Raw genomic sequence first — 12,321 nt, 5'->3', positions numbered from 1 at the left:
AAAAAAATTAGCCGGCCGTGGTGGCGGGCGCCTGTAGTCCCAGCTACTTGGGAGGCTGAGGCAGGAGAATGGTGTGAACCCGGGAGGCGAGCTTGCAGTGAGCCGAGATCGCGCCACTGCACTCCAGCCTGGGTGACAGAGTGAGACTCTGTCTGGGAAAAAAAAAAAAAAAAAAAAAAGATAAGGACGTGTATGTTAACTTGCGCTATCCAAACAAGCTGTGCTTATGGTCCTCTGCCTGTGCGTCATGATTTTCCAGGACTTCACAACGGGATAAAGTGAAGTAGCTTCGGCTTGTGAATGTGCATTGCAGAGACGTGGGAGAAGAAAGCTGCAAAAGTCATTATGAGCAACACCCTTGATCTTAGGGGTGCTGGTCTTTGAGAAGAGAGCTCTAAGCCTTTTGTAGAGGCATTAGAAAGGTATCGGCGCCACGGTGAAATGCAGGGGAGATTGGGTTTAGGGGCTTTCCTGGTCTGCATTCTGCTACAGCCGTTAAATGCCGCTAGATGGAGTGCGTGATTCTGGTATGGCCTCATGTGGACCTGCGAAGGATGGAGAGAACATGGTCTCTGCTTCCCAGAAAAAAAGGAGAAATTTGGTAACAAGTGTGGAGACTGCTCTTAAATAATGCTCCAGATTTCAAGCCACTTCTTCCTGGACCATGAGAGAGCTCCCTAATGTTGTATTTATTTTTCCTAGGTCCATGGCTAATGAAACACAGAAGGTTGGTGCCATCCATTTTCCTTTTCCCTTCACACCCTATTCCATCCAGGAAGACTTCATGGCAGAGCTGTACCGGGTTTTGGAGGCTGGCAAGATTGGGATATTTGAGAGTCCAACTGGCACTGTGAGTATGAACAGTGAGAGATACTGAAAAGGACAACTTTACGGCAGCTGTGCTAGCTTTTCCTGTTTGCCCATCCAGAGATTTTCATAGTTTGAAGTTGGGCAGAGTAGTCTCTCTCAGTTTATCTTTCTGAGTAATACTCACTTCCTCTATTAAAGTCTTTTTTTTGCCCAGGCCGGAGTGCAGTGGGACGATCTCGGCTCACTGCAAGCTCCGCCTCCCGGGTTCACGTCATTCTCCTGCCTCAGCCTCCTGAGTTGCTGGGACTACAGGTGCCCGCCGCCACGCCCGGCTAATTTTTTGTAGTTTTAATAGAGACAGGGTTTCACCGTGTTAGCCAGGATGATCTCAGTCTCCTGACCTCGTGATCCGCCCATTTCGGCCTCCCAAAGTGCTAGGATTACAGGCATGAGCCACCGTGCCGGCCTAAAGTCTTAAACATAGCTCTGTGGTCTGAGAAAAATTAGGCTGAAGTCATTGGTGCCTACCTATTACGGTAGATGAGATGGCTTTCTTACCAACTCTTTTCCCTCCGGTTCCCCATCCTTCAAATATAATTCTAAGTTTTAGTCTCTGCTGAGTGAACCAGTGCGTTATGATTATGTTTTGAACATAATTTTGTCTTGAACAATATGTCTTAATATTCTGTTTTTTCTAGTTAATAATTGCCCTTTTAAAGTTAGTTTAGTTTTTAATATACCTATGCCAGTTCCTCCCACATCATCCAGTGGCCTCTCAATATGATTTTCCATACAGATAACTCCTGTCTTAGTCGGCCAGGACTGCCATAGTAAAATACCATAGACTGGGTGACTTAACAGGAATTTATTTTCTCACCATTCTGGAGGCTGGAAAGTTGAAGATCCAGATTCTGGCAGGGTTCTGGTTCTGGGGAGGGGGTCTCTTCCTGGCTTGCAGATGGCTGCGTTCTTATTGTGGAGCAAGAAAAGAGGAGGAGGAGAAAAACAAATCTTTGGTGTCTCTTTCTCTTTTATGAGGACAAGGGCTGCTCCCTTATGGCTGCTCCTTTATGACCTCCTTTACCCTTGAAGGCCAGATCTGTAGTACAGTCACATGGCAGGGTTAGGATTTCAACATATGTTTGTTTGTTAAGATGGGCAGTCTCACTGTGTGGCCCAGGCTGGTCTCAAACTCAAGCGATCCTCCCCTCTCAGCCTCCCAAGTACCTGGTGGCTGGCAAGATCCAAGATTACTGGTGCACACCACCATACACAGCTTCTTTTGTTTTGTTTTTGTTCTTTAAAAACATTTTTTTAACATGCATTTTGGTGGGGATACAATTCAGTCCACAGCAGTGACCAATTCCATTTTTACCTTGGAGCCCTCCTGGAATACTCCATCCTTTCCCTGTCATTTGAATTAGTTGCTCCTCAGACTGACTTGACAGATTTCAGCATGAGTGTTAGTGGGGACAGACGGCCGCACCCACACCACATCAGGGTATATGTCCGTTTGGAGGCTTTCCTCAAACGTCTGGCAGCCCTGGACTGCCTGTGTATGCTGAAGAAGAGGGCACAGAAAGGCTGAGTCTGCAGGGCAGGCTGGCTGTGGCTGCCAGGCTGGGCTCCTTTGTTGGGGGCCTCCAGTTGCCAGCACATCTGTGGGATTTTCCCTAGAGTCTTCGGTCTCTCCAGAGCAGGTGCCTCTGAGCTCTGGCCCAGCAGGTACAGACGCTGAAGCCCAATAGCCGGTCTTCCGGGAGGTGGTCTGGGGAAGGGGATCCAGGTGGAGAGTCCCCCTCAGTGCCTGCTTTCAGCCTGACCCTCCTCTCCCTCCCTCTTGCCTCCTCAATCTGCCAGTTGCCTCCAGGGTTCTCCTAGCTCAGCTTCCACTTAGAGCCCACTTCCTGTCTTCTGCAAGGAGCAGGAGCAGGGATTGCAACCTGGGAATCTAATTGTTCTTAAACAGAATTTCAACCCGTCCCTTTGTTTTCAGTGGCCTGCTGTGTTCCTACCACTTCCTGAGTCTTTCTGAGAATGAGTGGGGGAGATCTCTGGGGACACTTGGGCTTGAGTGTCTCTGCCGAATCACTTCCATGTCTCTGCCTTCTTTCCCTCTCTCCTAAAACATATTACTCCTTCCACTTTCTTTGTTTTTGTGGGTGTAAGCCTCCATATTACTTTGGTTAATTTTAGTGTGCTTTGGAACACAGATGAGTGCATGTTCATTCTGCCTTGTTTAATTTTAGAGACAGGGTGTCGCTCTGTTGCCCAGGGCCGAGTGCAGTGTTAAGATCATGGTTCACTGCAGCCTCGACCTTCTGGCATCAAGTGATCTTCCCACGTCAGCCTCCTGAGCAGCTGGGACTACAGGTGTGCGCCATCACACCTAGCTAATTTTTTAATTTGTAGAAATGAGATCTCACTATGCTGCTCAGGCTGGTGGTCTTAGACCCCTAGGCTCAAGCAATCCTCCCTCCTTGGCCTCCCATAGTGCTGAGATGACAGGCGTGAGCCACTGTACCTGACCCCTTTTACCTTGTTTAGCCTGACAACCCATCTTCTGCCTCTCAGGTCTTTCCATCTCAGTCTTCTGCACTCCAGGCTTCTGCATCTTCCTCCTATGCTCAGCCTTTAATTGTCGATGTTTCTGGTTCTATAGCTTCATCTTCTTGTGTGCACTCTCTGTGAATGTACCCTGTGGCTTTATTACCTTTGACATTCTTCTGTCTTCTAAATCATCTCCTGAATAGAGTGTTTTCTCCTGTCCTGGGTGTCCCCCAGCCCATAGGAGCAGCCATGCTGTGGGACACCCTGAGTGGGGTCTGTGTTACCTGTTGTGCCTACCATGCCCTTCCCCGCCTTGGATGCACAGGTGCCCCACCTTAGCTGCCCGAGATGCTGTTTATCCTTGATAGTCACCTTTTAAGCCTTATACAGGTCTATCAAGTTGAGTCACCATTACCACTTGGTGTGTGCTGTGCCTTGTGTAACACTGCAGTTCCGGGAGTCCTCCAACCTGGAATGCATGCTTTGCGGGGATCTATGATGCCCTCGAATTGTATGTTACATGTGAACTTGTGAGCATTTTCTAGGGGCTCTGCACCTTTGTGTTCTCAGCTCTGAGCCCCATGCTTGCTGCAACCAGCAGGTGTTCAGAGTGAATGAATTTGCTTATCTTGGCATAAATCATGTAACTGTTGATGATACCCCAGGAAGGTGAGCCTTTGGTTATAAATCCTTTTAACATTTTCCAGTCTAAAAGTTTTGTGGTCTTATTACAGGATGTAGAAAACAGTGGGCCTCAGTTATTCTTTTGCTGTTGTGCCGGAGTATACCACGGTTGTTTTTGAAAGATAACTTTGACCATACCCTTAGGAACTTCCTCAGCTCACTTTCAAATGGAGGGCACTGGCTTTCTAACCATTGTGTCTCCCAGCCCAGTGACAGCTGAAGCTGTCTGCTTCCGATATCACAGGCAGCACAGAAGAGCCGCCCTCCAGGTGCTGCTGGGAAATGCTGCCTGGAACTCTTTGCCATTTACTTTCTATCAAAAGCTGAGGGAAATGGTACATATGGGGCTTTCCTAAAAATATGGGATCCATCCATTTGTCAGCAATGTCATTCTATCCTATCCCAGGGCCTTTCAAGATTTTGGTGAAAACTAATAGATCCCATATTCCAGAATAATGCTATTAATAATTTTATTATTATTACTTAATGATAGCAAAAAGTTAGCTAACTCCAACCGCTCACTTGTTATTTGCCAGGTAATCCTCTAATCCAGAGGATTTGGCCTTTTGTGTGTGTTAATGTCCTGCTTGCACCAGCTCTATGAGGAAGGTGCTGCTGTTGTCATTTCCATTTCTGCACTCGTGGAAACAAGCGTAGTGAGGCCAGCCTGAGCCACAGAGCTGCAGGTAGGGGAGGCAGCTGGAACCCTGGCGCCTGGCTGTGGAGTTTGAGGCTCTGACTCCTGCGCCGCGCTGCTGCCCCAACCCTAGTCATACGAGGTGTTTCACCCCGCCCTGGATACTCTGAGATCCCCTCTGGGTTCAGCAGGCTCAGAGAGCTGACTGCCTGGAGCAGAAGGCATGGGGTCCTCCAGAGACTCCCCTGAGCTGAGTTCCCCTGTGGACACCAGGGCCGCCTCCTTGTGGCGCTCCCTGAAGGGTCCTCTCTGGAAGAACTGTATTGGTTCCCTGGGGCTGCTAGAGGAAAGCTTCACAAACTGGGGCTTAAACAACAGAAACTGACATCCCACAGCGCTGGAGGCTGGAGTCCGAGATCAAGGTGTCAGCATGCTTGGTCCCTTCTGAGGGTCGCGAGGGAAAGATCTCTTCAGGCCCCTTTCCTTGGCTTATAGGGGCGTGTTCTCCTTGGGTATCATGACATCGCCTGCCTTCTGTGCATGTCTGCATCCACGTGTCCCCTTTCCAATAAGGATATTAGCCCTTTAGGCTGGGTCCCGTCCTAGTAGTCTCATCTTAACTAATTACATTTGTGACAGTCCTATTTCCAGATAAGGCCACATTCTGAGATGCTGGGGGTTAGGATTTCAACACAGGAATTTGGAGGAATACAATTCAATCAGGCTTATGGACAATTCTGGTCTTAAGTCAAGAGTAGTCTTCTCCAGTCTGTATGTGGAGGCGCACACCTATGGTCCCAGCCACTTGGGAGGCTGAGGCCAGAGAATTGTGTGAGCCCAGGAGGAGTTCCATACCAGCCTGGGCAACATAGCAAGACCTCCTCTCAAAAACAGACAAAAAAAGTGGTGTTCCAGAGTGATTAGTTTGCTTTAAAAAAAAAAAAACAAAAAAACAAAAAAAAAAAAACACAAACCGTAAACACTGGCACTCGTGACTGATCATCCTGTATCCACGCACGAGCTGCACGAAGGCCGCGCGGTCACTGTGGCTCCCCGTTGGCGAGTACCTGGGATTTCTTGCTCAGCAGTTTGGGGCCTTAATTCTTTTAGGGGACTTTTTGTCTAATGTCTCCCCTTCTTCTAATTATGTGCGATATTTACATAGAATCTGATAAACTGCTTCAAATTTGTTTTCAGAACAGTGAGCTGGATAATTAAAGAAGCTTTTTCCTGCTTCTTGGGCCCAGTTTCCATTTCTTCCTTTTTTCTGTTTTTCCTGGCTATTCTAGTGCTAATTTCCTTCCTTTCCTTTCCTAGGCTGGCCTTAGAGCATCCTCTCCTATGTACAGCCAGACCTTCTTTCAAGCTTTTATTAAAATGGGGAAAGGTCATTTGGGAGGCTTTGTTGTTTTCCTGTTTCTAAAGATCATTTTTCTTCCTGCAGGGGAAGTCCTTAAGTCTTATTTGTGGGGCCCTCTCCTGGCTCCGTGACTTTGAACAGAAGAAGCGTGAAGAAGAGGCACGACTCCTTGAAACTGGAACTGGCCCCTTACATGATGAGAAAGATGAATCCCTGTGTCTGTCTTCCTCCTGCGAAGGGGCTGCAGGCACCCCGAGGCCTGCTGGAGAACCGGCCTGGGTTACTCAGTTTGTGCAGAAGAAAGAAGAGAGGGACCTGGTGAACCGACTGAAGGTGAGACCTGGGGTATCCGGAAGTGGGAGTGCTGGAGGAAACAGGGCTTCAGCGATTGTTGTGGGGCGATTCCGAGACTCAGGCAGTGCATGCTCCCCTGCCGTTGCTGTGCCTCTCAGCTCTTCCCTCAGCTCCTTGGGTCGATGGTGCTGCCGCTGTGCTGTCTCTTTTGAGCTGGAGGTCAGCAGGGCCTTCTCCACACAAGGAACTGTTGGTGCCCATTTATTACTCACCTGGGAAAGGACCTGATCGTTGCCATTGGCAGCATGGTTCAGTGGCTGCAAATGGATCTGATGGAGAGCGTGTGGCTTTGGGAGGAGTGTGCCGCCTTCCACAGTGAGCAGCGAGGCTGGGACCTGCAGGGATGAGGTCCCGGGAGGGGATGCGGCAGCCCTTGAGTGCTGGTTGGAGAAGGAGAGCTGCCCCCAGTGAGGAGGCGCCGAGCTGAGTGGCCCAGACTCCTTAGGAGAGGCCTGGTTTTGGGCTTCCTGGTGATTTTCCTTCATGTCTGCCTCCTGTAGGCGGAGCAGGCCAGGAGGAAGCAGCGAGAAGAACGCCTGCAGCAGCTGCAGCACAGGGTGCAGCTCAAGTATGCAGCCAAGCGCCTGGTGAGCCTCATTTCTTGGGGGGCAGGATTATGTCCAGGCAGGGTCGCCCTGCTTGGAGGCTCATGGGTGCGTGGCCAGGGTCTTGGTCTCCCCTCCATGACCCTCACTGGCTATGTGCTCCCGTACAGAAGCTGGGCTGTGAGTGGTTGAGGCGTGGATCCTAGGAGTCGACCTCTCTCCAGCCAGGCAGCCAGGCCTATGTGAATGGGCGTGGTGTGCTTTGTCTCTGGCACGTGGGGAGGTGGGTACTGGTGCTGAGACTTCTTCCTCCCTCCCCACCTCCACTGCCCCTGTCCAGAGGCAGGAAGAAGAAGAAAGAGAGAATCTCCTCCGCCTCAGCAGGGAGATGCTAGAGACAGGCCCGGAGGCTGAGCGGCCGGAGCAGCTGGAGTCTGGGGAGGAGGAGCTGGTCCTCGCCGAATACGAGAGTGATGAGGAGAAAAAGGTGGCGAGCGGGTGAGACAGAGGCGGTAGCACTACCCTGCCCCAGGCCAGGGGACACCCTTGAAGACAGCTCTTTCCCTCATGCCACAGATGCCATGAAGCACCTGGCAAGAGGCATGGTGGCCTCTGCCCTCTGCTCTAAGCCAGGTCCTTCCTAGGGTCCATGAGTGCCAGTGGCAGTGAGGACAGTCACCGGCCTGGCCTGTGTCCTCTCAGCTGTCCTCACAGCAGCTCAGGCAGGGCAGGAACATTTGTGTCTGCACCTTATACACAAGGAGGCTGCAGCCCCACAAGGAGAGACTCCTTGGCTGAGGCCACAAGCCTCGGCAGTGGAGAGCTGGGCTAGAACTCAGCCGGCCTGGCTCTAGATCTCAGGCTCTGAGGCAGCTGACTGCACTGGGTAACCTTTGAGGTGCCAACCGTCAAGGCGTCCTTAGCCTGAGCTTTCCTTCTCCCATAAAGCCTCTGTTGGTCCAGACTCAAGGTTTCCACTTGATGAGCCATGAGCTGCTGGGTGACTTAGCCCTGAGCAGGCCACCCAGGCCATTTCGGGCCCACAGGATCCCTGGTGACAGCCCCGTTTCCATTCACACTGGAACCTCACCACCATCCCTGAGTGTCTGCTCTGAGTATGGCACTGTCCAGATGCTGTGGACATAGAAGGGAAGAAGACATGGAGGGGACAGTTAATAGACATGAAAACAAATAGCACCTATGTGAAGTCAGCATGTTTGCCTACAAGGAAAACAAAATGGTGATGTGGATGGGGTGGGGGGCTGCACCTGATGATGAGTCCCGTGTGTCCTGTGACATCCTGGCCACCACATCTGTGGGAGGGTAACTGCAAGACCAGAGACCCTCCGTGGATATTCCTGAAGGTTCATCCCCGGCCTTCACGGTCTGTCTGCAGGGCGCCTTCTGACGCCACCTCCAGCCGCCATCCACCAGACGCCAGCTTCCCCGCTGCCCTGAACTTCCTCCAGCGCACCAGGCCTTCCTCTGTCCTGTCTGAGGATTTGCTCATGCAACGTGCTGTGGCCAAACACCCTGCCCTCCTCCCTTCGCAGATGTCTTCCTCTCCTTTAAGGCCTGGCTCAGGTGTCGTCTTGGTGGCTTCGGGTGTCAGCTGCTCTGTTTTGCTCACGCACCTGCTTGTGCTTCTGTTGTTGCCTCCTCTCCCTGGCTGGGCTCGAGCTGCTTCAGGGCAGGAACCACGTCTTTACAGTTTGATGTTCCCAGAGCTGACCCAGTGTTTGGCATAGGGGTGTGCTCAATACAATCGAGTTGACATGAATGAGCAGATGCTGCCTCGTTGCAGTCTGGTAGTATAATTCCAGGCTGCGCATGTGGACCTCGACTTCTGGCCCTGCCCGGGGCAGAGACCACCATGCTGCTTTATGCCTCGCTGGTGAGAGGGGGTCATAAACAGTTTGTGCTCCATGAACCGTTCCTGCCCACCTCCAAGGTCGTGTTTCTGCTCCCTCTCTTCTCCCTTAGAGCCCATGGGGACAAGGCAGAGAACTTGAGTGGAGATGAAGGTGGTGAATATTAGAGGAACAAAGTGCTCCTTCAGGTCTGGGCAAGAGCCGTGGATCCTGTAGGTCAGCTTCCGGGGCTTCCCATGCCCTCACGTTTCAGGAGATAATGTGAGCCTCAGAGGACCTGAGTTCTGAATAGAAAATTTTTGCTCTTCATTTCTTCACACACCCAGCCTCTCAGTGAGCTCCTGCTGGCTTTGTCCAGCATGCGACATAAGATTGAATCCAAGCCTTTTAAGATAGAGCCGCCTGCTCTTTAGTGACCATGAAGCCAAGCCTGTAATAATTACTCTTCTGATAGCCCAAGACAATTGTATTCTGCTTTGTTAGAAAGGAATTTCGAGGTGAACAAAAATGTTTTCTTTTTATGTGATGTTGCCATAGGTGGCGTGTGCCTGTCAGATGGTTTTGTGTTTTCTGAGGAGCATAGACTAGTAGAGCTAGCTCAGCTTCAGGCCATGGGATGCAGGGCTGGCTTCCCTGCCAACGCCTGGCGCTGATGGATTCTTCCCGCATTGCTGGAAAGGGCAGACTGAGGCGCTGACAAAAGAAGAGTTGCAGCTGGTCATAAGTGACAGCATCCTCTGTTCACTCGATTGGTCAGTTGTAGCTTCATCCAGGAGATGGTCATGGGGTTCCTGCTGCATACCAAGCTCTAGGTGAGGCCATGGGGACTCAGCAGAAACAAGGCCGACCTGGGTCCTCCCTTGTGGACATGACAGTCTGGGGAGATAGACCGAGAGGAAGCAATTTTGAATGAGATGGGTGTGAAGGGGCCATGAATCTGTGTCAGAGCAGCCAGACCTACCAGGGAAGGTCAAAGAAGGCTTCCTGGAGGAGGTGATGTTTCTGCTGCTATCTCAGAGTTGACTGGGAGCTGGTGAGGGGAGACAACATTCCAGGCACAGAACATCCGAAGGCCTGAGATGATGAAGAGCAAATATCCCCCCTGGGGCCTCAGAGGGGTCCAGCTTGCTGGAGGGAGGGCAGAGAGGAGAGCAGCCTGCCATGAGTCCCGAGGCTTCCAACTCAAGACTTGGGTTTGGGGTGCTGAGCTCATGTCTCCTTTTTACATTTCCCTACCCACAGACCTGAGCGGCCACGGGAGGTTGGGGTTGGCATTTGCCTGGGGGAGTTTCTGAGCAAGCAGCACCTGCTACCTTGGTGGAACCCATTGCTGGGAATGGCCAGGGCTCAGCACCAGCGCTCAGCAGATGCTCAGTGCGTTTTGCTGAGTTTGCTGAGGGAAGACTGTTTTCTGTTCTCTCTCACACACACAGAGTGGATGAGGATGAGGATGACCTGGAGGAAGAACACATAACTAAGGTAACACGAGTGTCCTCAGCTGGTGCTGTGCTGGGGGCTATGGGCTGGGCTGTGCACCCTTGGGGAAGAGGCTGGAGTCACTCGGCTACTTCTCACCCTCCTCTCCACAAAGGAGGAGCTTCCAGCACTTGGACTCTGTTGCTTCTTGCACGCAACCCTGGTCCTGAGTTGCTCCCTTGGCCAGCTGCAGTGGACCTTGGAGTCCTCTCCTGGGGTCAGGGCCTGGGGAGTCCTCTCCTGGGGAGACCTTTCCTGGGAGCAGGGACCTGAGGAGACCTCTCTTGAGTTTGGGGCCTGGGGAGACATCTCCTGGGTTCGGGGCCTGGGGAGACCTCTCCTGGGGGCAGGGCCATGCTTGCCACCCCAGGGCATAGAGGAACAGCTGTTCTGGGCTGAAGTCTGGGTGTTTTCTGTCCCTGCTGGGTGGTGCTGGATATGACTCGTGGAAGGAGCTGCCTGTGGGGCATTCCCTTGAACTTCTGGAGCTGTGGGTGACTTGGGAATCCCTGGGTCCCTCGATAGATGCCTGACATGGGACATTGCTGTCCTGCCTCGGCTTTGTGCATTGGGAGCCACTCCCTTTCCCTCAGCCTCTCAGGCCCTGGCGTGCCTTGATGTTAGAGAATGCTGTGGGATGTTTTGGTTCCCTCTTTGAAGTGCCTTTCTTTCTCTCTGCTAGATTTATCACTGTAGTCGGACACACTCCCAGCTGGCCCAGTTTGTGCATGAGGTGAAGAAGAGCCCCTTTGGCAAGGATGTTCGGCTGGTCTCCCTCGGCTCCCGGCAGGTAAACAGTAGCCAGTATTTCCACCAGGGGCCATCCTGCTCCTTTCCCCACAACTTTGTCCTGCTCGTCCAGGCCTGGGAGACGCTGGGTCTGTGACAGGCTGAACCGTGTGAGGAGCAGCCCCCTCCCTGGCCTGGCCGGCCCATCACTGGAAGGCAAAGGAGAGGTGGCGGGGGCAGGTCCACGTGTGTTGGTAGGATGTCATTTAGCTGGCACCATCTCTTTGCCTCTTTCTTTCTCCTTTGTTGCAGAACCTTTGTGTAAATGAAGACGTGAGAAGCCTAGGTTCTGTGCAGCTTATCAACAACCGCTGCGTGGACATGCAGAGAAGCAGGCACGGTAGCCACCAGGACCATGGTGTAGCCGCAGGTGGTCTGGAGAGAGTGAGGCAGGGGTGGCAGTGACTGAAGACCATTCAGTGTCTTTCATAGAAAGAATGGCAGAGGAGACCCCAGTTCCTCCCTGAGTCCCCTCTCCTTGGGAAAAAGTGTTCCTACTCTCTGGGTGAGCGTCTGGTCCGAATCGTTGGCTTGGAGATGATTTTACGGGCTCTTTCTGGAGAACAAAAGTAAAACGTTACAGTGTTCCGATGAGACACAGTAGGCAGTACTTGGGAGGGTCTTATAGACCCCACCCTGTGGAAGTGGGTCTCAACATTACACAACCCCCTCTCGGGCCCGTGGACAGTTGCTGTCCTCTCTGTTTTCTCTCTTTGTGCCTGTGCCCCCCTCAGAGAAGAAGAAAGGAGCTGAGGAGGAGAAGCCAAAGAGGAGGAGGCAGGAGAAGCAGGCAGCCTGCCCCTTCTACAACCACGAGCAGATGGGCCTTCTCCGGGATGAGGCCCTGGCAGAGGTGAAGGACATGGAGCAGCTGCTGGCCCTTGGGAAGGAGGCCCGGGCCTGTCCCTATTACGGGAGCCGCCTTGCCATCCCTGCAGCCCAGGTGAGGGCCCTGCAGGGCCAGAAAGCCGCTCTTGGCTCTCACTGTGGTCTAGGCCATGAGGGGGGTCCTCATCACACTGTAGTTTGGGGGATGCCCCCCACCGTGGTCAGGTTGATGGCACCTTAACCCATTCTCTCCTGAGGCGTGAGTTGGAGGAGGCGCGTGGGATCCCTTGGGGTCTCCAGGCAGCAGGGCCAGTTGGCATTACTGGGGATGGTATTTAGGAGCCAGGAAAGCCGGTGCATTCCTAGTGAAACCACAGGGAGAGGGGGGATGCCAGGAGCTGAGAAGAGTGTGCTGCA

General features: G+C 52.4%; 1 pseudogene across 1 annotated transcript in view, besides 1 other annotated feature; it reads left to right on the top strand.

Annotated features, from left to right (window-relative positions):
• DDX12P (DEAD/H-box helicase 12, pseudogene) overlaps window positions 1-12,321 on the top strand; it is a 30,482-nt pseudogene that overhangs the window by 3,788 nt on the left and 14,373 nt on the right. The window contains exons 2-9 of the transcript NR_033399.1: window positions 703-850; window positions 6,126-6,374; window positions 6,896-6,982; window positions 7,281-7,438; window positions 10,245-10,290; window positions 10,970-11,077; window positions 11,329-11,416; window positions 11,811-12,019. The product of NR_033399.1 is annotated as a DEAD/H-box helicase 12, pseudogene (transcript). The remainder of the gene's footprint in view (window positions 1-702; window positions 851-6,125; window positions 6,375-6,895; window positions 6,983-7,280; window positions 7,439-10,244; window positions 10,291-10,969; window positions 11,078-11,328; window positions 11,417-11,810; window positions 12,020-12,321) is intronic.
• Window positions 6,349-6,848: an enhancer, noted in NCBI's record as "H3K4me1 hESC enhancer chr12:9590133-9590632 (GRCh37/hg19 assembly coordinates)". NCBI's record gives its function as "activates a minimal SCP1, AML or CMV promoter by ChIP-STARR-seq in naive H9 embryonic stem cells {active_cell/tissue: H9 hESC(naive)}" and the evidence as "EXISTENCE:reporter gene assay evidence [ECO:0000049][PMID:30033119]".

Source organism: Homo sapiens, chromosome 12, assembly GCF_000001405.40.
Source record: "Homo sapiens chromosome 12, GRCh38.p14 Primary Assembly".
NCBI lineage: Eukaryota > Metazoa > Chordata > Mammalia > Primates > Hominidae > Homo > Homo sapiens.
The sequence above is the reverse complement of the archived record's forward strand: the minus strand, read 5'-3'. Positions and strand labels throughout refer to the sequence as shown.